The 24,406-nt window shown below is 47.2% G+C and overlaps 2 long non-coding RNA genes across 3 annotated transcripts in view, besides 2 other annotated features; both read left to right on the top strand.

The window, feature by feature from the left end:
* LOC101928004 (uncharacterized) overlaps nucleotides 1–24,406 on the top strand; it is a 106,380-nt gene that overhangs the window by 41,859 nt on the left and 40,115 nt on the right. The window lies entirely within an intron of this gene.
* On the top strand, nucleotides 11–7,407 carry LOC105374901 (uncharacterized). 2 transcript variants are annotated; one of them, NR_187807.1, is made up of 2 exons: nucleotides 11–358; nucleotides 6,788–7,407. It is a non-coding gene; the product is annotated as an uncharacterized LOC105374901 (long non-coding RNA). The 2 variants fall into 2 exon arrangements; NR_187808.1 differs by lacking the exon at nucleotides 6,788–7,407 and adding an exon at nucleotides 869–1,037.
* Nucleotides 7,446–8,063: an enhancer, noted in NCBI's record as "H3K4me1 hESC enhancer chr6:6751483-6752100 (GRCh37/hg19 assembly coordinates)". NCBI's record gives its function as "activates a minimal SCP1, AML or CMV promoter by ChIP-STARR-seq in primed H9 embryonic stem cells {active_cell/tissue: H9 hESC(primed)}" and the evidence as "EXISTENCE:reporter gene assay evidence [ECO:0000049][PMID:30033119]".
* Nucleotides 8,684–9,301: an enhancer, noted in NCBI's record as "H3K27ac-H3K4me1 hESC enhancer chr6:6750245-6750862 (GRCh37/hg19 assembly coordinates)". NCBI's record gives its function as "activates a minimal SCP1, AML or CMV promoter by ChIP-STARR-seq in naive H9 embryonic stem cells {active_cell/tissue: H9 hESC(naive)}" and the evidence as "EXISTENCE:reporter gene assay evidence [ECO:0000049][PMID:30033119]".

Here is a 24,406-nt window from a genome sequence, read left to right as displayed (position 1 = left end):
CCCCATTCCCAGTACTGGGGCGTTGCTAGCCCTCCTTAGAGAGGGCGAGGGAGAGGAGGATGCTGTGCCTGGAAAGCGGCTCTTGAGGAGAGCTGGAATCTCGGCAAAGCGTCCACTCCCTCCCCTCCCCTTTCCTCTCACCTCTAGTGTTCCCACCAGCCCCGGGGAGGAGACAAAGGACGTGGGAGGGCAGCAGCATGCAGGGGGCCTGCCTTTGACGCCCAGGAGTTGAACACCAGACAGAAAATGAAATCTAAACATTTACCCAGAGCCCTGGGCTAGAAATGGGCCAACCTGACCCTGGAAAACAAACAACCCGCGTCACCGCCACACCTGCTGCAGGCCCCAGATGCCACAGGTACTAGAGGAATGGGCTGCAAGGCCCTCAGCTACTCCCTGCTTTAGCAATTCAGGCAGAACTGCCTGAAGATTTCTGAGACCTCTGCTGCTTGCATCCATATTCGTTTTCTTTTTCTTTTTTTTTGGAAAGAAGGAAGATTGGAGAAAAGAACATAGTACCTAAGCGTTCTGTGATTATGAAGCTAAACACACACAGACACACACTGTTTTCCTCTCTGGGAACTTGGCTGCTGCTTGCAGGAAACTTTCTGCCCATAATAGCGAAGGTTCTAGTATTATTTTCAGTTTTCTTTGGTTAACTCTCTCCCACCCTCACTCAGGTCTCTTTATTTTTTAGAAACAGGGTCTCACTCTGTCACACAGGCTGGAGTGCAGTGGTGCAATCACAGCTCACTGCAGCCTCAACCTCCCTGAGCTCAGGTGATTCTCCCACCTCAGCCTCCCTATTAGCTGCGACTACAGGCGCATACCACACCACACCTGGCTAATTTTTGTATTTTTTGTACAGATGAGGTTTTGCTCTGTTGCCCAGGCTGGTCTCAAACTCCTGCACAAGCAATCTGCCTGCCCTGGCCTTCCAAAAGTCCTAAGATTTCAGGTGTGACTCACCGCGCCCAGCCTCAGGTTGCCTTAAAGAAAAGTTTCTGTATATTAAATATAAACTATATGATGCACAACTTCCCTGTAAGCCTCCTAAAAAGATGATCCAAGTAAATTGGTGGGATGGATGGAAATCCCATATTGTTTCAGTCTTCAACAGTGCTGGTACAGGTTCTCATTTCTTTCCATGAATATCAGTGTTAGTCAGTGTGATAGGAAATCTAGTATAATGAACTACTCTTATAAAATCATTTTTATTTCACTTGTAACTTTTTAGAATGTTCATACATCTATTATTTCAATAGGTTCTTACAAAAATCCCCCAAATCTTGTAGGGCAAATTATATCTTTAATTCTTCAGATGAGGACACTGACATTAGGGAGATTAGATGATTCTATTATAGGGAAATTCGATGGTTCTTTTACAGAGAAATTAGATGATTCTACTACAGGGTCAAAAATTTAGGGTATAAAAGGATTTATCAAGGCATGAGTTACTATTATTTCCAAGATATCAAGTCCCCTGTATTTATATGAATCTAGATAGCAAAGAACATTTTTTTCTTTTCTTTCTTTTTTTTTTTTTTGAGACAGAGTCTCACTCTGTCACCCAGGCAGGAGTGCAGTGGCACGATCTTGGCTCACTGCAACCTCCGCCTCCCAGGTTCAAGTGATTCTCCTGTCTCAGCCTCCCGAGTAGGTGGGATTACAGGAGCCCACCTCCTCACCTGGCTAATTTTTTGTATTTTTAGTAGAGACAGGGTTTCATCATGTTACCCAGGCTGGTCTCGAACTTCTGACCTCAGGTCATCCTCCTGCCTTGGCATCCCAAAGTGCTGGGAATACAGGCGTGAGCCACTGCGCCTGGCCAGCAAATAACATTTCTATAAGCTATATTTTACACATAAACTATAAAGCCTATGTTTACAGAGCATTTTCCTTCAATACATTCAAATATATTCTACCTCGTATTACTCTTTCATTATCTTTTCATATAGGTGACCAGATCATAGTGTTGCCTGGTTTCCACTTTGTTATCTGACATTAAAATATTGTCCTCATTTTCCTTTCAAGCCACATTAACAGCTATTGCAAAGGCTGGTCTGCTGCAAATGTATTCCTCTTAGAAAGAAAAAGTGACAGCCAGGCGTGGTGGCTCATACCTGTAATCCCAGCACTTCAAGAGGCCAAGGCCGGGGGATCACTTGAGGTCAGGAGTTCGAGATCAGCCTGGCCAACATGGTGAAACCCCGTCTCTACTAAAAATACAAAAAATTAGCCAGGTGTGGTGGCGCGCCTGTAGTCCAGCTACTTAGGAGGCTGAGGCAGGAGAATCCCTCCAGCCTGGGAGGCAGAGGTTGCAGTGAGCAGAGACCATGCCATTGTACTTCAGCCTGGGCTATAAGAACAAAACTCTGTCTCAAAAAAAAAAAAAAAAAAAGAAAAAAGAAAGAAAAAGTGACAGACATCATGATAGTTCTTGCTTTTTCCACAAAATTTCTTCTTTTTCTTCTTTCTACCTTTGAAATTAAGTTCTAGGTCACAGCATTTGTGGGTTTTCTGTAAGTGCCAAGCTCAATCCTGATGGTGGGTCATGCCTTTGCGAGATTTTAAATAAGATAAAAGGAAGGAAATCTGGGCTGGTGATGCTGTTTCCTCAGAGGAAATAAGAAAACGTATGAAAAGTAACTTTGGAGCCTACCCCATTCTTATAACTGTTCAATGGTGGAAAATGATGACAGCTTTCTTCTACTAAATGTAGCATGAGATTCCCAGGAATCCGTTAGGAGCAGCCTCTGTTAGGAGCAGCCTCTGTGGGTGGGATGGCTTGTAGAATCAAGAAATGCATTTATCTTAGCAGAACAAACTTGCAGTCTCCACCCCAAGACCAAGGGACTAAATTTTTTTTTTTTTTTTTTAGATGGAGTTTCGCTCTTGTCGCCCAGGCTGGAGTGCAGTGGTATGATCTTGGCTCATTGCAACTTCTGCCTCCCAGATCAAGTGATTTTCCCACCTCAGCCTCCCAAGTAGCTGGGATTACAGGTGCCCACCCAACACACCCGGCTAGTTCTTGTATTTTTAGTAGAGATGGGGTTTCATCATGTTGGCCAGGCTAGTCTCGAACTCCTGGCCTCAGGTGCTCCGCCCGCCTCGGCCTCCCAAAGGGCTGAGATTACAGGCGTGAGCCACTGTGCCCAGCCTGAGGGACTTGATTCTGATGGTATCTCGTCCCTCCCTTGGAACCTCAGAAGGTGCAAACTTTTATCAGCCTAATTTATATGCATGGATGCCTCTTCCCCCAGGTACAGGACAGTGGTGAGCTCTGAAGCCAAGACACCCCCCAGTCAGAAGAGCCAGTCCACTCTACAGAGATGAGGGATCCCCTGAACCTTTGGGTCTTCCACGTTGTATGGGGGAATGATTCCTTTCTTCTCCTTTGACATGAAAGCAGTAGGTTAAGTCCTTAGAGCAGAGAGAGAAAGAGACCATAAAATATTATTCCTGGAAAGAAACTCAGAGATAATTAATTGGAACTGCATTTGCCACATTCTAAATAACAGGATTCCTTCCATTGCTAAAACAGTCCGTATGGTAGGAGCTGTACCTTTATTTGCTCTAGACTAGAGCTGTCTAGTAGAAATACATTGTGAGCCATACATGTAACTTTAAATTTTCTAGTAGCCACATTAAAAAAAAAAAGTAAAAGGAAACAGGTGGTTTTCCATACAAGATATACAAATAGTCACTATGCACATGAAAAGACGCTCGATCCATCACTAATCATTAAGAAAATGCAAATAAATACCGTAATGAGATACTGCTTCATACCCATGGTTTCTCTGAATGGTTTCTATGAAAAACTTAAAAATAAATAACAGAAAGTAGTGTTGCTGAGGATGTGGAGAAATTGGAACCCTTGTGCACTGTCGATGGGAATGTAACATGGTGCAGCTGCTTTTGGTATATACCCAAAAGAAATGAAAGCTAGGGCTGCGCGCGGTGGCTCATGCCTGTAATCCCAGCACTTTGGGAGGCTGAGGCGGGCAGATCACAAGGCCAAGAGTTCAAGACCAGCCAGCCAACATGGTGAAATCCAGTTTTTACTAAAAATACAAAAATTAGCCAGACATGGTGACAGGCGCCTGTAATCCCAGCTACTTGTGAGGCTGAGGCAGGAGAATCGTTTGAACCTGGGAGGCAGAGGTTGCGGTGAGCCGAGATGTCACCACTGCACTCCAGCCTGGGCAACAGAGCGAGACTCCGTCTCAAAAATAAAAAAATAAAAAATAAAATAAAAGAAATGAAAGCTAGGACTCAAACAGACATCTGCACACTGTGTTCATAGCAGCATTATGCACAATAACCACCCTTAGTGGAGGCAACCCAAGTGTCTAACAACAGATGAATGGATAAACAAAATGTGGTCTATACAGAAAAAGGAATATTATTCAGCTTTTTAAAAAAAGGACATTCTGACACATGCTACACCAGGGAGGAACCATGAAGACAATGTTCAGTGAAATAAGCCAGTCACAATAGGACAAGTACTTTATGATCCCACTTACATGAATTACCTAGAGGAGTCAAATTTATAGAGACAGAAAGTAGAATGAAGAGTTATTGTTTAATGAACGTAGAATTTCAGTTCTGGATGATGAAAAAGTTCTGGAGATGAATGGTGGTCATGGTAGCACAACAATGTGGATGTACCTAACACTACTGAACTGCACACTTAAAATGATTAAAATGGTAAATTTTGGCCAGGCACGGTGGCTCACGCCTGTAATCCCAGTACTTTGGGAGGCCAAGGAGGGTGGATCATGAGGTCAGGGGTTGGAGACCAGCCTGGCCAACATGGTGAAACCCTGTCTCTACTAAAAATGCAAAAATTAACCAGGCACGGTGGTGGGTACCTGTAGTCCCAGCTACGCAGGAGGCTGAGGCAGGAGAATCGCTTGAACCCGGGAGGCAGAGGTTGTAGTGAGCCGAGAGTGTGGCACTGCACTCCAGCCTGGGTGACAGAGCGAGACTCTGTCTCAAAAAAAAGAAAAGGTAAATTTTATGATATTTGTATTTTATGATAATAAAAAAGGTGAATATAATTTTATACTATATGACATTTAACTCAATAAAATCAGAATATTATCAGTTCAACATATAATCAATGCTAAAAAATTATCGACATAGTTTACCTTATTTTTTTACACTATCTTCAAAATCCAGTGGTTTTTTCTTTTGCACTTTCAGTACATCCCAATGGCCACATGTCAAGTGCTCAAAGGGTACACGTTGCTAGTGGCTGCCATATTGGATGTACTGCTTTAGATAATGTTTAGCAGGAAGATAGCTTCAAGGACCCCCGATGGTTGTTCTTTCAACCCCAGGTCCCCAAAGGCCATGGGGTGAAACCTTGGTGACCATCAGTAAGACAGGAAAAACTGACTGTTTTTCCTTCTCTGTACTCTCTCTGACCACACAAATCACTTCTGTGACCAGATGTGTGGGTTTTTGGCACATTGACCAGTTCTCTGCCACCAACTGGGTGTCCCACAATACAATTCAATTCTGACACCATCTACCTGGAGATAGTGTCAGATCCCACAGATTAACGGCTTAGTCTCACAAGACTGCCCCCTACTTCTTGCAATTGTAGGTAGTAGGGCCCAGGTTACAAACAACTTCTGTCCAACTTGGCTGCAAATCTGAGGCTCCCACAGCCTCTTTCTCAGGTTCAATCATTTGCCAGAATGGCTCACAGCGCTCACGGCAAGGCTTTGCTTACTTTAACCCATTTATTATAAAAGGATACAGCTGAGGAACCGCCAGGTGGAAGGCAAGGTATGGGGGAGCGGCGAGGAAGTTCCATGCCCTCTCAGGTGTGCCGCCCTTCTGGCACACATGTGTGTTCTTATTCCTCAACCCGGAAGCCCCCCGAGCCCCAGAGTTCAGAAATTTTTATGGAGGCTTCATCATGTAGGAATGGTCAATTATTAACTCAATCTCCAGCCCCTCAGTCTCCCCAAAGGATGAGAGTTGGGATTGAAAGTTCCAAGCTTCTAATCATAGCTTGGTCTTGCTGGTGACCAGCCCTGACTCAGGAGCACACCAAGGGCCGCCTCATTAGAACAAAAGCACTCCTATCACCCAGGAAATTCCAAGGGATTTAGGAGCTCTATGTTGAGAACCATGTCAAAGACCAAACGTTAGAACAAAAGATGTTCTCCTATTGCTCAAGAAATCACAAAGTTTTGTTTGTTGGTTTGTTTGTTTGTTTGTCTTTCTTTTAGGAGTTCTGTTCCAGAAACCAGAGACATAGGCCAAAATACACATTTCTTATTTTAAATCACAATATATCACCATTGCACAGCCTGTGTGGTGTCTGCAGCCAGGCGGGGCTGCCTGACTTCCAAGCACCTTTCCCCTCCACAGGCTGAGAGACTTGCTCACGGCCCAGTGTCAGGACAGTCAGGATAAGACTAGACTGAGCTGGCTCCTGAGCCAGTATCTTTAGGTATGGTTTAGTAGCTAAGGTAGAATTCAGAACACAACTTGTAAGGTTCACGAATGGCTAACGGCTAAGTGAAAAAATGAAGTCCTTAAGAACTGGCGATAGAGAAGGCAAGGGATTTTATGGGGGGTATGAGTAGGGTTTGATGAGCAAAGTCCCAGACAAACTGGCATCCTTATCATTGTAAAAAATATAGACTTCCTAGCATGAGCCTTCTTACATAGCTTAGCTGTTGACAGATTCCTTCTTTCCTTCCTTCCTTCCTTCCCCCCTCCCTCCCTCCCTCCCTTTCTTCCTTCCTTATTCCTCCCTTTTAAGTGTATTTCATGGGCCTCTCTGTAAGGTGGCTATCTGTTGTGAAGTCTGAGGGGACTGGGTCCCCTCCCATCCCCCAGCCCCTGCTCTCTGGGAAGTCTGCTGGGTGTGCTGGGCCGGCTCCTGGACAAGCTGAAGCCGAGGACTGCAGCAACTCTTCCCATCATCACCCTGGCTGCTGTGGGGAAGCTGGCAGTTTTCTGGAAGACTGCTTGCTTGGAATGCTTAGCATCCTCCCAGGCTTCTGACTCTCCACTGGGGATGCAGAAGGTCTGCATTGCAGTTTAATCCACTACTGAGAATTCCTGTGCTTCTAGAAACCATCCTCTCACCTCCGAGGGACTCCATCTTGTCAGCTGCCCAGAGGAGACAAAACGGAACACTGCCCCATGGCTCAGTGCTTTGCACAGTTGTCAGCTCCTTGGCTGGCAAGCATCAGATTGATTAAAAGGAGGTTTTCTCAGACATAATCCTGCCCACTAGCCAGCCAAACATGTATGCAAAATGAATGGCAGTACTGGGAGGGGCTCTGTCCAGCCACCCTGGACATGGGTGTGAGTGTGCATGTGGGGTGTGGGTGTGTGCATTGTGAAAGTAAAAAGGGTGTGGGGTACAGAAAGAAATGGTCTTGTTTTCGATTCTATCATCGTTTTACGACCTCTGGCTCCATTTCCTCCTCTGGAGTTAAGGGAGCGAACTGTCGCCAGCCAGTCCCAGCCCTGTGATCTCTGCGCTGGTTTGTGTAGGCGGCTCCAGAGACACAGATGCAAGACTTGCGTGTCTCAAACTTGAAAAGGAACAAATTGCTGGGGGAGGGGGAGGGGGAGGGGAAAGGGTGTGGCTGCCTGCACACCCATCTGCCCCTCCTGAAACACTGCCACCCTTGAATGCATATCCAGGAGCTCCTTGGAATCTCAAAATACATCACGTATATTAGGATTTAGCTCCCTGCTCCCCACTGCACACTCACACCCTGCTGCACTGTGAGGATGGGCAGGCTGGTGTCACTCTCATTTTAAAAAACGTGGGTTTGTTCAGCGGCATGGGCTCTGAGGAGACCCTTGGGATGTGTGGATACCAGCTTTGGTAAAACCAGTGAGCAGGTGGCTGGAGGGACACTGTGGCCCCTCCTCTGGGCAGTACAAAGGCCTCCTCCCAGGCCCAGCTCCAGAACCAGGCTCTGTGCCTTGTCTACCTGCTGCCTGGCCTCAGGCCTTCCTCCTCCTCTGAGGGCCCTGGCATCCTAGAAGGCTGGGCTGCCTCTTCTGCCTGCCCTCCTGCTCCCTGTTCAGGCTTCCTACAAACACCTTCTCAACTCCAGAGGCTGCAATTAGCATTTTACAGCAGACAATCCAAGGCTAACACAGATAATGTCATGGACAGCACTGCTTTTATTCCCCTCTGGGATTAATGTCCTATGAATAAACATTCCACAAAGCCTATATTCATAGAAACGCTTATGATGTGGAATTGGAGCCAAATGGTGCCTATGGACAGCCTGGGACAAGGGAGCGTGGAGAGAAGGTGGGCTCAGGGGGAGAGGGGAAGCTGGGGGCTGCTTGCTCAGTGATTTGGAAGCTGCTGCATTGGTACAGTGCCATCAGTCTTCGTAGGCAGGACTTCAGACCAGGCAGGACAGGAGACCAAGCAGGGAGCTCAGGGAACCATGTCAGTCTCCACAGTGGAGTCTGGACTCCGGAGCTCTCGCCACGGTGTCCCACAAGCAACAGAAGAGACTCGGGGGTGGCAGGGTGAGGGAAGTAACACCTATGAGCTGATCCGTTCAGCGGAGAACTGGAGGTGGGCTCATTTGATATTGCGATTGCTCAACATCAAATCCCTTCAGGAGCTGCCATGTGCTTGCTTGACTGATTACATTTTTGTTTTTGAAAATAAAAAAATCTGTAGTATAGACAGCAAAATGTTAAAGCTGATGAGTGGGTACTTGGGCCTTTGATCTATTATTTCTGCATATTTCTACGTATTTAAATTATTTCATAATTTTATATATATATATATATATATATTTATTTATTTAAAAAGGAGGAACTGGATATTCTTTATTTCATTTGGCAGAAGCTGTTTTGGGAAGTCCGTCTTACCCATGCACTTTCCCTTCCCACCTGCTTTGTGAAGGTTCCAGACAGGGCCAGGAACACTGCGTTCCTTGACCGGCAAGGTTTTGTATCCCTGCTCCCCCCTCCCCCTGCACCTCTGCAGAGGAGCAGCACAATTCCAGCTTTGGCATACCCGGGAACCCCGGTGCTGGCCTCGCTGCACCCTCACAGCTCAGCTAATTCCAAGACGTGCAGGCAGCGCACTGCCTCTGTCTCTGCTGTAAACAACCAGCATGAATCATCGCGGAAGTCAGTAGTCATCTCTCCCCCGTTTGCAAAGACTGGGGAACTGCAGCATCACAGGGTGACCCGCTGGAAGCCACAGAGGGAAGATAACCTGGAGGGAAAACTAGAGCTGAAAAGCTGCAGCTGGGATTGAAGGCTGGAGGCTGGAGCAGTGAGCCCTTCTGTTCTGAGTAGGGCTGGGCTCTCCCAGCAAAGGGCCTGTGTCACCAGCAGCGACCGCTCAGGGGAGCCTTGGTCGCTGAATGGCTCTTTGGGTGGTGTGGTCTCCCTCTGGCCAGACCTACAGAGTGGCCCTCCAGCACCCAGCCTTGCTGAGTCCCTGCAGGCCTGCTCTGAGGGAAGGGGCTGATAGTTCAGACGTTCAGAGAAGGTGCCTGGTGGCTCCGGAACTGGTAAGACTATGTTCCAATGCTCGCAGCTGCTAGGAGTTACCAGGAGGACGTGATCAGGAGAAGCACTTGGCTTGAGCAGAAGGCATGGTTTCTAGGAGACTGGAATTGTTTCTTGGACCCCACCTCTACTTCTGTCTTTCCTGGACATTTTGCATCCAGAGTATGCTCTTATAATGTGACCATCATTTTGCTAAACTGTTTGGAATAAATTATACCCGGAATAAAATCTAAGTGCCTAGGGTCCTCTCAGAGAGTTCCCTTGGGTCTGATTTTATGAGAAACCACTTGCTATAGCCTCAGAAGCAGTTAAGACCCCCCAAATATTTTCAAACCAGTGTAAGTGGCTTGGATTTTTAAAAAGTGCTCCTTTTACAGAGAAATTGTAATTTTGTTGTTGAATTATACATTTTTAAGTCAAGACTTGAAGTATAGTTACTACATCATCATATATAAAATGTTTTCTTTGGGTATGGCTGCTGCAGCCCTTAGAAACCAACGTCATCACTGAGAGTGTCACAGACTTTAACAGTCCAGCCTTCTGTTCCGCCAGGGCACTTGAGGATCTGTTCTATTTGCTGCTTTAAAATAACAGCCCTCCCTTATTCTGAGGAGAGGCAAGGATCCATCGGCCTGGACTATTTATCAGTGGTTTCTGAAGACAGGAGAATGTTTATTTTGTGAGAACATTTGTCCTACCTTAATTTGCAAGGGACTTAAAAAGTAGCCACCATGAAACACAATAGTAAATATTTGATTCTTGTGAAACAGGTTAATGTTTGTGATGGAATTTCTTCTACATCAGAGCACCTTAAAAATCATTTTCCAATGGTCCCAATTTTTGTGTTTTCAGAGCCCTTGGACAGGAGGCGTTGCAGGTGCCGGGCATTGGAGGGACCTCACGCTCCGCGTTTCCTTCCCTAGCAGAGCTCAAACGACCTGCTGCCGCATCGGGCATTGTTCTCTCCCTCCTCACCCAGAGGAAAGTCCCCATGGCCCATTTTCTGAGCTGTGCTTTTCCACTCTTTCGTAATCTATTATTGTGACCTTGAGATGCAGAGAGAGAAGGCTTTGGCAGGACGCACTGCCTTTGGAACCAGAGCTGCTGCTATCTGTGCCCTGGACCACATGCTCCATGGCCATGGCCGTGCCAGTCCTACTGGTTCCTCTGCAACCGCCACCCAAGTCAGCGCCTGCAGGAGCGTGGACACTGAGAGGACTGGGACAGCGAGGAAAGTGTGCTTACAGAAGGGCCGTGTGTGTGTGTGTGTGTGTGTGTGTGTGTGTGTGTGTTAGAGATGCACAGAGGTACAGACACAGGAAAGAAAGAGACCAAGAGAATCTGCCTTTAAAGTAGACTTCAAGTTATTTGTTTCTAGGACTGTACCTGATAGATTTGATTCTCACCAAACTCAGTTGCAAAAACTCTATCCAGGGAAAGGAATCTGCAAGCCGGAGGCACGGAGCCGTGGGGACTCAGGGGCAGGAGGACTGTGGTCACCCTTGGGTCCCCACACTCGTGTCCCCGTTCCCTGCAGCCCCGTTCTTCTCTCTGTCTTCACCCTGCTTTGCGTGGGCAGATGCTCCTGCCAAAGCTTACTTCATCAGATGAAATGAAGGGGAATCTGATTTGCCACTAATTGGACTTAGTGTAGGCAATTAGGGTTAAGCTGCGATGAGGGAACCACCAGACGCTGGGATTTTCATCACAGTCCTGAGAAATTCTTCCAGAATTTAAGTGGTTGCAAATCACGATATTAGTTTACAGTGGCAATATTTTAAATCAGTTTAAAACAGGATATTGGCCGCCTGGAAATAGCCAGCTCAGGCATTGCCGTTATATAGATATAAATGTACATAATGTGTGTATGTGCATATATGTGTCTATACACAGACATATACACATATATACACACATATACACATACACTGTACACTTCTATATTTTTATATATACACCATATATATAAAAAGATAGTCAGTGGTGAGACTATATATGCATATCTCTCGCCAGGTGAACAAGGGCATTTAACAGGCACACAGGGTGTTTCCCTTTTCCTTTTCTCAGTTGCCTCATCTTCAATTCCTGTCTGGAATCAATCATTCACAGATAATGAGGCTAGAGCAACAGTTCCTGGGCCGTCTATCTCCTCCCGTGAAAGGAGTTTTCACTCTGCATGGGGCTTGCAGTATTTTAAGCCATCACCTCATCAGCACTTGTGGCGATGCTTCTGCCATGCCGCTGTTCAAATCTTAGAGCCTGCCCTGCAAGCAGAAGCATCCATTTCACCTACTGGTGCATTCAGTCATTTCATCCTTCACTTAGTATCCAACAAACACTTACTGATTGCTTGCTCTCCGGACAGCCCTGTGGACACCACCAATGGGGTGGGAGATGCATGTGTTATGTGTGACTGCATACGTGTGGTATGTGCGTATCTTCATGTGTCTCTGTGTATGTGTGTGCTATGTGAGTAAGCATGTGTATGTGTGTGTCTGTGTATATATAAATATATGTGTGCCTCTGTATCTCTGTGTGTTTGTATCTGTGTTGCGTGTGTTTGTGTGTGTCAGTGTCTGTGTGTGCGTGTGTCTGTGTCTCTGGGTATGTCTGTGTGTGCTTATGTGTGTGTCTGTGTCTGTGCATGTCTGTGTGTATGTCTGTATGTGTGCATCTGTCTATATGTGTGTATGTCTCTGTGTCTGTGTGTATATGTCTATGTCTCTGCGTGTCTGTGTGTGTCTGTGCATGCATGTGCATGTGTCTGTGTGTTCCTGTGTGTATCTGTGTGCCTGTGTGTGTGAGCTCACAGCTCTGGAACTTACATGCAGAAATAGGCATACACAATCGTGCCCACACACACCAGTTGCATGCTTATTCCTACTCTGTGGCTCTCAGGCTGCATGAGTAAGTCCCCAAGCCATTTCCCTCCCCGGTCAGAGCAGCCACCTGCTTTCAGGACAGCAGCTGCCATTTATGTTTCCATTTCTGGCACCCAGTGACCTCGCTGAGAGCGGCTGAGGAGAAACAGACACCGACACCCCGTCCTTATCTGCAGCAGCTCCCACAGAACCACAAAAAGGGGTATCTTCAAGGGTGGTGGCACAAAGCAAGGACGGCGATGACGGGGGTCAGGAAGCTGCTCAGGACATTGCATCGCCCCAAACTTTCTCCCCACAAATGCAGTTGCCTCTGCCCTGATTACGATTCCTGCCAGATACTCCGAGCAGAATGCACTTTTGCCATGGCCAGGCATTTTCCATGTTACTCTGTGCCAGCGGTGGCTCTGCATCTGAGACCTGCCATTCTGCACACTCAGGATTAGGTCTTAGTTTGGGAGCTGGGGCTCTCGGTCACTCCCAGCCCCCAGCAGGCAGATGTGCAGACCCCCTCGCAGGGGACATGCAGTGATCAGAAAGATCTAGGGAATATGGTGTGGTAGAGCAGCCCCGGGGACTCTCTAGATCCGACCCCAGAGGGTAAGTGGGACGTGGCAGCTTTCATTCAGCTGCAGGGGAGGTGAAGCCTTCCTCTAAGCCCCTGAAATTGACAGGTGACAGCGTCCTGGCCGCCCTTACACACTCTCCGCGCCTCCCCGGCCTTGGCGCCCACTCTGGCAGAGCTTGAGGAGCCCTTCAGCCCGCCGCTGCACTGTGGGAGCCCCTTTCTGGGCTGGCCGAGGCCGGAGCCGGCTCCCTCAGCTTGCGGGGAGGTGTGGAGGGAGAGGCGCGAGCGGGAACCGGGGCTGCGCGCGGCGCTTGCGGGCCAGCGCAAGTTCCGGGTGGGCGTGGGCTCCGCGGCCCCGCACTCCGAGCGGCGGACCGGCCCGCAAGCCCCGGGCACTGAGCGGCTTAGTGCCTGGGCCAGCAGCTGCTGTGCTCGATTTCTCGCCGGGCCTTAGCTGCTTCCCCACAGGGCAGGGCTCGGGACCTGCAGCCCACCATGCCTGAGCCTCCCCCCACACCGCCGTGGGCTCCTGCATAGCCCAAGCCTCCCCGACAAGCGCCGCTCCCTGCTCCACGGCGCCCAGTCCCATCGACCACCCAAGGGCTGAGGAGTGCGGGCACAGGGCGCGGCACTGGCAGGCAGCTCCACTTGCGGCCCCGGTGTGGGATCCACTGAGTGAAGCCTGCTGGGCTCCTGAATCTGCTGGGGACTTGGAAAATGTTTAGTCTAGCTACGGGATTGTAAATACACCAATCAGCACTCTGTATCTAGCTCAAGGTTTGTAAACACACCAATCAGCACCCTGTGTCTAGCTCAGGGTTTGTGAATGCACCAATTGGCACTCTGTATCTAGCTCAAGGTTTGTAAATACACCAATCCACACTCTGTATCTAGCTAATCTAGTGGGGACGTGGAGAACTTTCGTGTCTAGCTCAGGGCTTGTAAACGCACCAATCAGCACCCTGTCAAAACGGACCAATCGGCTCTCTGTAAAATGGACCAATCAGCAGGACGTGGGTGGGGCCAGATAAGGGAATAAAAGCAGGCTGCCGCGCTAGCAATTATAACCTGGTCGGTTTTCTTTTGTGGTGTGTGTTTATATTGTGCGAGTTCTGTTCTTTTGTTCTGCGGTAAATCTTGTTGTTGTTTGCTGTTTAGGTCTATGTTCCCTTTATGAGCTGTAACGCACACCATGAAGGTCTGCGGCTTGGCTATTGAGTCAGTGAGAGCGTGAACCTACTATTAGAAGAAAAACTCTGAATACGTCTGAACGTCAGAAAGAACGAAGTTTGGACACATTGTCTTTAAGAACTGTAACACTCACCCCAAGGGTTTATGGATTCATTCTTGAAATCAGTGAAACCAAAAGCTTTCCAAAGTTTAACACACAGGGTAAGTCTGGGGTGGTCCAGCCTAGATAAGGGTTTGGTTTGCTGGGGTGATTTAATGTAGGATTATTGTCGGGCATAAGGGCAGTTTCTGACAGCTGGGGAGGATTGTAAAGAAAACCCATAATCCTTCAGCCCTGTTCTGCGTGGCCCGTGCTGTGGGTAGGATACCCTAGAGAACAAACTAGGGTAGAAGGCCTGGGGCCGGCAGACTGATCATGTGATGCTTAGCCTAACTACTATTCTCTCTAATCCTGCTAGTAGTAGATCTGCCAGTGTTCCATCTTAGCTGATGTTACTGGTGCTAGGGGAGTGACCTTTTGTGGCTTTCCAGCCATTAGCCCCTGTAGGATAGACTGGTTTGTACTGGTGCAGTCTGTTTAAAAACATGCATTCCTCATGGCTCATCAGTTTTGTGTGTTAAGTCTCGCCATGCAGGTGGTCTTAATCTTGTTTTCAACTTGTAGCTCTGCCATACCTGTCTCTCTAAGGAGACCTAACTATTGCCTACTTCCCACCTGCGGCCATTCATCCACCAGGCCCAAGCTTATGGGTGTTGAACAATACAGCTACTTATTTTTGACATTGTGTCTTTATGTGTGTGTCACTCCAGTGGAAGTCAACCCAACCGTGGGTAGGAGACAATACATGTATGAGGAAAGGGATCACAGGTACAGAAGTTCACAGAACTAATGCACTTTTTCACATTTTGGTGCTCATAATGCATTTTCCCCCTATAGATATGATTTGAGAAAGAAGACACTGAAAGAATGGAGGAATAGACACCAAGTTAATAAGGGTTCCTAACTGATGAATTTCACTCTTAGGATGGCTGAGCCAGAGACCACCATTTCATTCTTTTTGCTGTGCCCTGCCTGTTTCGATGGTTTTCCAGGATTCCCAACGTGATAAGTGTGTCCCAGTGTGACGTTATTTAATCTATTCTGGCAATTCAGTGTCAGTATCCGTTTTCCCTTCAAATATTTCACCAAAGTATTTATGCCCCACTACTGTATTTCATTGATTGTAAGATACACGCTGGTTTTTATTAGCATTTCTGAAGTTGAAATGCGTGGAACATTGGTGGTGTGTCATAATACTTTAGGATTTGTTACTTAGTGGTACACCAAATAATGGTAGGTTGATGGTGTTTTAGATTGCCTCGAGAGTTCCTCAATCAGTAATAGTAGTTCTAATAACTCCTTTCCCAACTATGGGGAGAACACAGGCTCCTTTCTGTACCTGAAAGAATCTTGCAGGTGCTGCCCTCAACGTCTACTCCAAACCTACTTGACTCTATCTCGGTGACTGGCTTCAGTACTTTAACCTCCTACTTGGTGTTGGCTTCCCAGCCTGGGTCTCGACAGGGCTGGCCATTGGTCTGAATCCTTGCTTTGCCTCTGGTCTCCATCCTCTGCCACTTCTTGGCTCCGTACTCTGCAGTCGGCAGGCATTTGCACGTGCGTGAACACCTGCGGGGACTCGGCTGCCTGCTTGCCAGGGCCATGAGACCTGAAGGAGGACACAGCCTCTCCTTTTTGCTTTTGTGTTCTCATCGCTTTGCCCAGTTACTGGCACATGGTAAGGACCCCTTACCATGTTGACACAATCCGTGAGACAACAGCTTCGTTGTTTTTATCCACGCGAGATATATAGGTGCAGAACATTTATTTTTTTCCCCCCACAATAAGGAGGAGCTCTGCCACAGAGCTGTTTCCTAGGCATTTAGTCTTGACAGCTATTTGCTGAATTTTTTCTTTTCCATGTGGTGCATTTTTTTTTTCCCTGGCCCTTTGGCTGGGATGGGATTTGGTTAGCATTGCCGGGGGTGTGCATGGGCTGAGGTGGGGCATATGTGTCTTGTCTCTTTCTGCATAGCTTCATACCTGGCTTAGCCTTGAAATTTCCAGTTTATGTGGGGGCAGGTCCAGGTTTGCTGCTGAGCCCTGCACTGGAGCCAGGTAAGCCTCCACTGGTTGCCTTCCAGCAGAGCCTGGATGAAGACTGTTTGCATCTGTCAAATGAATAGGATTCAGTCCTGGTACCTTATGTATGTCAGGTTCATCTCCAGCTTTCATCCATCTTTTCTGTAAAGGCTGTGGCTCCTAACTCGGTTAACTCTCAGTAAGGGCAGCTATCCTCCTATTAGGATAATTGAGCTTCCCTGTGGATTGAATACTTTGACCTTGCTGGAGGACAAAGGAGAATTAAGGAGGTAAGGTCCCTGCCATCAAGAACTCTCCCCGCCCCCACACTCAGCAACAAGCTGAGAAGCAGGACAGGACACACAATCAATATGCTTCTCATATAAGAGACTGATTGTTCATAGTGACTGGTGATTTTTTTTCTTGAATATTCACTCAACCAGATTTTGGTATGCCAGCTTAGATTTCTTTTAGAAAATAAGGGCTACCAGTGTTTGGAGTAAGGCACTAGTCTTGCCTCTTTTTCTTTTTCTTTTTTTTTTTTTTTTTTTTTCCTTTTTTTTTTTTTGTTGTTGTGGTTGTTGTGGTTGTGGAGTGGGAGTTTCGCTCTTGTTGCCCAGGGTGGAGTGCAGTGGTGCGATCTCAGCTCACTGCAACCTCTGTCTCCCAGGTTCAAGTGATTCTCCCACCTTGGCCTACGAAGTAGCTGGGATTACAGGCACCTACCACCATGCCCGGCTAACTTTTATATTTTTAGTAGATATGGTTTTGCTGTGTTGGCTGGGCTGGCCTTGAACTCCTGGCCTAAACTGATCCTCCCACCTTGGCTTCCCAAAGTACTGGGATTACAGGCATGAGCCACCGTATTTGGCCTTTATTTTCTTTAGTTGGGGGCTGCAGCAGGAGCTCAGAGTGCAGTAGCCCTAAGATGGGCCGATGGGAAGGTGTTTTGCTGTGGGTGTGCTATGACTGGCCTGTATGGGCTCCTGGGAGCTGACTGTTAATATATTTAGAAATTTTGCTAGCTGGTTGGCCATGGTAGGAGTATTTATACCAGGGAAACTAGCAAATGGCATGTCAGGGCTTTTTCTCCTGCTCCTCTGTAGAGCCAGCTTACCAGGACACCACTGATGACTGCATGGAGCAGCCAGGAGGGATTATGGCTGGTTATTTCACTTTCTTTTTTTTAGTCCTGAATTTTATCAAGGAATATAATACAATATATTATATATATTATCTTACATAATTCTTACATATTATATCACATTATAACTAATCTTTGATAAATTTCAGGACTAAAATGTAACTACTTATATATATTCCTTATATATAATATTGCCTTATATAACATACTATATATAATCGTTGTAATATAATACATATAAAAAGGAATATGATATAAATGTGTCCCACTATAAATAGGACAAGAAGACAGGCATACAATTAGACTATGGAATAGTCCATAATAAAGAATCAAGAGGTTGAAAACACCAGCCTTGGAGACATCAGTATCCAGACACTGTAGGAGGTGCTGTGGTGACCAGTGGGGATTTGGAAGGAATGCAAGTGTCACTTTCATTAAGTGCAGCCCTGCCTCGCCGCTGCTAGTCAGCAGCTAAGGCCCTGCACTGAGGGAGGCCTGCCTGGCCCAGAGGTTACACTGCCCCTTCTCCTTCCCACCCTAGGGCACAAAAGCCACTCCCTTGCCTCAAAGTAAATTACCTATGTGAGGGTTATGAACTGCTGGCGTTTAAGCCAGCAGCTTCTTTCAAGTTTTTGCCAATTAAAGGCAATTAGGCAAGCACTAGAAGAAATCATTAACCCTCTAGTGAAACCAGAGCATTTCTATATTCTCCCCCCTTTGTGGAGCAAGTGCTAAAAGCAATCATTTCCAAAAAGCCGAAGCAACAAGGATGAATCCTCCCATCTCCATCACCAATGCCCAGTGGACCAAGGTTTTGGTATGAAGAAATGAGTTTTCTTAGCTATCATTATCAGCAGTGCTTTTACCCAAATGCAAATTCCTTGCTCCAGCCTGTCTTTGACACAGGGGTGGGCGACTTCTCAAAGGTGGTGCAGGGAATAAGCCCCCAGGAGGTGGCATCTGAGCTAGGACTGAAGACCTAAGGGAACCAGCCCTGCGAAAATCTGGAGGAGGAGACATCAAGTCCCTCACCACATCCCAGGAATGAAAGACCCAGGTAACAGCCTCAGGTGGGGCGGGGGAGGCCAGAGCCGCCTGGGTGGCCCTGCCGCTCTGTGGGCCTTGTCAGCCATGTGGAGGAGTTCAGGTATTTCTAAGTATAAAAGCTTCCAGGTCGGGCATGGTGGCTCAAGCCTGTAATCCCAGCACTTCGGGAGGCCAAGGTAGGTGGGTCACCTGAGGTCAGGAGTTTGAGACCAGCCTGACCAATATGGTGAAACACCATCTCTACTAAAATTACAAAAATTAGCTGGGTATAGTGGTGTGTGCCTGTAGTCCCAGCTACTCGGGAGGCTGAGGCAGGAGAATCGCTTGAACCTGGGAGACGGAGGTTGCAGTGAGCTGAGATCATGCCCGTGTACTCCAGACTGGGCGACAGAGTGAGACTCCATTAAAAAAAAAAGCCTTCAGGCTCATCACCTTGGTGAGGCAACCACCAATTTAAGTGACCTTCCAGAGCCCCCAGGCATCCCCCTACACAAATACTTTTTTCTAAGAGTGACTAAAATTGGTGTTTCCTAACCTACATAAAAAATCACTTAGGTGAGCAGTATAAAATACCACTCACTTTTCCTCCCCTATAAGATTACAGATATATCTAAAGTCTTCAGGTCTGTATATAGTAGTGACTTAGCTACATCACTGGTTAAAGTAAATGTGCCAGGACTGACTTCCCAGGTCTCTCATAGGCACGCCCTTCAAACCCACATTGAACCTGAAATCCCAGTGTTCCAGGTTCAGTTGGTTTCCAATGGCACCCAGGTGTCAGGTTGACCCGATAGGATGCCTTAGGTATCGGGGCCGTGGGGGGATGGGAGGATGCAGGTGCCACCTTAAAGCATCACACCATCCCACCAGGCTGTTCCAGAAAACACAAAACTTTTTCAGACTCTGTCTCCAGAAAGGGACTTAGTCTCCAAAGAGGTTGGTTTTATCTAGATGAGTTGATAGAGAATGTCTGCTGGAATTGGGCTCTGATTCAGTCAGCGTTTGCTATTTAAATCAGTCTTAGATAACTTCCCTATCAATTGCATTCTCTCTTGCATGAAAATTACTTCCTGACTGCCTCCTCCTAGCTCAGTACTGTTCTATTGCTTAGGACAGGAGTGGGCAGTGCCCTCGTAGATGTTCATGCGTGTACTGATAAAAATTACCTATAACTCTTAGTGTGATCTAACACTTCAAGCAGTATCTGAGAGAAGGGGTATCGGATATAAAACAAATCATGGCCTGCCAGAGAAGAGTCCTTCAGTGAGCTCTTGAGAGTTGAAGCCAAAGAGGCCAGATGCTGAAGAACTTGGATGCTGTCTTAATGAGTTTCACAGTTAGCCTGTAGGTGATGGAGAGTCATAAAAGAATTTTAAGTAGGGGAATGACATAATCACACTTGCATTTTAAAAATACAGCTTTGGCTGTGATAAGTGGGGAACGGGATAAGGGTTTAACTTATCATGCACACTAAATTACTTCAAAACATAATGCCTTCAAACAACAGCACATTTGGTTGTGTGTGTGGCAGGGTGGAGATCAGGATTTCTGGAGCTGCTTAGCTGAGAGGTTTTGGTTAAGGGTCTCCCAGGAGGTTGCCATGAAGGTGCAGGCTGGGGTCACAGGCACTGGAAGGCATGGCTGGAGCAAGCAGACCATTTCCAAGTGGCTCACTCTCATAGCTGCCAAGTTGGTGATTGCTGTTTGTAGATACATCCAGTTCCTTCCACATCAACCCTGCCATAGGCTGCTTGAGTAGTCTCATGACATGGCAGCTGGCTCACCCCAGAATAAGGTAAGAATGATCTGAGAAAGTGGTGAAAGTGGCAATGTGTTTTGTGATCTGACCTCAGAAATGACGTATTGTCATCTTCTATTTGGTAGAGGAGAGCTGTTATGTCTAGCTCACGCTCAAGGTAAGGGAATTAGACTCCACCCTTTGAAAGAAGGTGTGCTAGAGAACTTGCAGATGCAATTTAAGATGTTTGTGGAGGTTCCAAAATAAGAGGTTATTTTATGAATCAGGTGAAAAGGAAAAGGGGTTGTAATCTAACCCTAAAGCAGTGAGAACAGGGCACAGATTTAAAAGCCATTAGGGTGCTGGAATTGATAGGCTTCGGACACTGCTTGTAATTAGTCTTAGCTGGGAGGAATCTAGAAGAGTTGCAATCTATAGGAGGAAGGGTATGGTCAGGACATGCTACATGTGAGATGCCTTGGTACAGTGAAGTAGACATTTCAAATAGGCAGTTGTACATACGAATCTGGGATTAATCTGGAGGTCGTAAGTGTGAAAGCTATGAATATAGATGAGATCACTTAGGCAAAGGGAGTTGTGGAGAGTGGCCACAGGATTAAAGGGTGGGAGCAGAGTGTGGGAGAGGGCACTTAGAAATGTTTCCAGGCAAATGTTGGGGGCCTTTGGAGGTAGGTGATTATGCATGTCCTGTGGTGACTGACTACATGGTTGCCTCAAAGAACTATCTGCTTGATTGCAGGTTTGATGGTGGTAGATAGTGTGAAGACTTTAACTTCTGTGCCTCAGTTTCATCATCTGAAAAATGGGCATAACGGCAACTACCTTATGGATTAATATAGGATTAAATGGGATAATGGGTGTAAATGCTTAGCAAAGCTCATAGCATTTAGTAAGTGCTCAGTAAAAGGTCACTATAAGCATTGGCAAATACCCTCTTGACTAGGATTGAGGACGAGAATGAGAAAGTAATGAGATAGAGCCATAAAAGCAAATGTGTAGAAAGGAGTTTATCTACTAGGCTGTGAGGACTGCTGAAGGATGTTGAGCTGGGGTGACTTAGAGTCTGCATTCAAAGTCCTGGCAAGAAAGTGGACTGGAGCCCCCAGGGCAGATCAGGGTGCCTTCTCACAGGGTCATGGCACCATGCCCTGCTTGGACTTTGCTTTGCTTTCTTTCTTTACTGGGACATTCAGGCGAATGCGTAGTTGAGGAAACAGATGATGAGTTACCGTTTCCCTCACTGGGTCTGATCAGAGCCACACACAGTGATTAGGGACAGGGGATCTGGTGCTCCGTTCACTGCAGGGGAACATTCCTCCGAGGGACCTCTTTCTGATTGTTCTAATCATCCCTGCTGGTTGGACAGCAGAGAGGGGCACGTTTTTCTGAAGTTGCTCCAGTCTGGAGTTCTCAATCAGATGAAAAGGAAGCCGCTTGTCATGAGGCGGGGCTCTGGGCCATGTGGAAACTGAGACAAGTCATGTCCAGAAAGGCGCACCTAATCAGCGGCTTATCTTTGGGCGTAGAGTCGAGCGGTTGATATGTGTTTCTGCATGCACTCTCCCAAGGTGACCTATGGCCATGGCAGTCATTGCTGTGGCAGGCTGTGTCTGAGATCACAGGAACGGGTGATGAGGAGCCCCTGTGTCCTGCCCTGAGGACCCAGCGGCCATCTTGCCCGCGGAGACTACAAGTCCCAGCATGCACTGTGCAAGCCCCCGGCATCAGCCCCTGTTGCAACAGAGGCCCGGAGCCGCCTCCTGCCTCCCTCAGAAATGCCCTTTCTTAACTTCCAGCAAGTTGGCAGGTGGCCGCCCAGCCCAGGACTCGAGCAAATGCTTTCAGTGTGATGGTGGTGCCATTTTTAATTCCTGGTGGCTTCCTTACACCATGGTGAGGCAGAAAAACGAGATCTCTTGCAGAGCACGGCCTCGCCTCTCATTCAGCCGGGACCAGAACTCTGGCGAGATCCAGAATATTGTCAGATGGGAGCTGTGGCCGTGAATAAAAAAAATGAAACCAGATGTTCTTCCCTCCAGTTGCCTCATGTCCGTGCAGGGGCTTGGAGGAGGAGGCTGTAAAAATGTCACAGCCCTTGATTCCTGAGGCCCAGATTTACGCGCCAAGTAACCTTGCACCATAAATCCACTGCCCTCGCTGGAGCATCAGCTTCCGAAGGGGCAGGGCCCAGCTGTGGTGTTGACCAGAGCAGGCGGACGGAGCTGTGGGGACGCGGGTGGGGAACACGTGGGCAGGGAGTCTGGCCGGGAATCGAGATTGCTTTTCAAGAATTTTTACATGGGCAAGAGATTTTAAAAGATTGGCTCGGAGTTTGGCCTTAGGAGATACGCCAAACTCTATTTTGCATCTTAGCCTGAAAGGGAGCTTGATTTCTCTTTGGAGTGAATTGGCAGATGCAAGAGAACTTGGGAATGGAACTCACATAGGCAAAGTTTTCATTGCAGGTTGAAGTATTTGCAGGAGAAATGAGAAGCCGGCAGAGGCCAGACCCTGTGAGCCCATAGAGGCTGGGATTTATCCTGAGTGCCACAGAAAGATTTTGGATTTAAGTTTTAAAATGGTTATTCTATCTGCCGTGGAGAGAACAGATTATAGGGGTGGAGATGAGAATGGAAGCAAAAAGGCAACGTAGGAGTATAGAAGTCCATGCAAGTGATGGTGACGTGGACGAAGAGGAAGTGTGAAAATGGTGGCTCAGAGGTGGGGTGAACAGACAGTGGGAAAAATTAGGGCTACTTCCAGGGATTCTGGCATGTGCGGTGGAGGGGATAGGGATGTCACTGAGACAGAAGCCTGGAGGAGGAGCAAGTTTGTTGATGAGATTGAGAGTTTAGTTTGGGACATGTTGGGTTGAAAACACTTATCCATGCCGATGTTTTAAACAGACACTTGGATATATGGGTCTGCAGATATGAAAGCTCAGGGCTAAGAGAAACTGGGGAGTCACCTTATAGATGGCAATCAAAAAGGTGTTTGGGCCACAGTTACTCTGTGCTGTTGACACTATCATTGTTGTCACCTTTTGCCTCTCCCTGGCCACCCCAATAACACCAGGCGGGCTTTAGGTCATGGATGCAATCTCACGCATTGCTGTTCCCCCTCTGTCTAGCATCTGTTTTTATTTTTCCAGCTGGACCAAAAAGTGACACCACTGCTACCATACATGGTACAAAAGCTTCTTATCCTGACTCTAGACAAGCAGAATTCCTCCCAAGTTCCCCATTTCTGCCTTTTTGCATCATCTGTCTCAAGTTTTCTGCTCTTAACATTCTCCCCATCTGTTGACATTTTTATGGTGGGTCTAGCCTTATTGTCACTAAACATCGTTGATTTACTTTATTTTATCCATGTTGCTTGAAGTACGTGATTAGTTTTTAGTACATTCTAATGACTAAATTCTGATAGCTGACTTTACAAAATGCTTCTAGGTGTATGTCTAACCAGCTGATGATCAGGGCATCCCTGTTCACGGTGGGGACTGGTGGGGACGTCACTTGGTGATGCCCATTAAGAAGGCAGGTTGCAGTGGGTCATTCTGTGTATGCTTAACATGTTAAATGCAGTTTCCATTTTACATAGCTGCGTCGTCTGTTCTAATTAAATAGTAACAAATGTTCCATTCAGTGGATTCTTCATATAAAATGACTCAAACAACTTTCCCCTCCCCCAAATAAGGCTGGAAACGGATGCACACTTGTGCCATGGAGTTAAAACCTGCACTCGTGTGTCCAAAGCCTGAACAGATGCACTGGGACAGCTGAGTGTTGCTTTGTTGATTGGCAGGGGGTTGATTGTGGTCTAATGCGGAGCCTTAGCGCTGCTGTTTGATCCCAGGACAGGTCTCTTTCTCCCCATATCAGTGAGCCTCATCCCCCACTTAATCATGAAGTGCTTAATCATGAGGCTCAGAAGGAACTGACAGAGCCTCCCGCCCCAGCACCTTGCCAGGGGTGCCCCCAGCTCTGCCTACTCCTAGTGTGTTTAGCCTTTGCGGATTCCTAGATTCCTCCTGGACTGGATCTTCAGATTTCAACCCCCTTTGGGAGACTCGTTACTGTTAACTGGGATGGCAGTGCGGATCCAGGAGTCAGGAGAGTATGTGCTGTACAGGAAAGTGTGTAGAAGGTCAGATGGCTCA

Source organism: Homo sapiens, chromosome 6 (genome assembly GCF_000001405.40).
Source record: "Homo sapiens chromosome 6, GRCh38.p14 Primary Assembly".
NCBI classification, from domain to species: domain Eukaryota; kingdom Metazoa; phylum Chordata; class Mammalia; order Primates; family Hominidae; genus Homo; species Homo sapiens.
The sequence above is the reverse complement of the archived record's forward strand: the minus strand, read 5'-3'. Positions and strand labels throughout refer to the sequence as shown.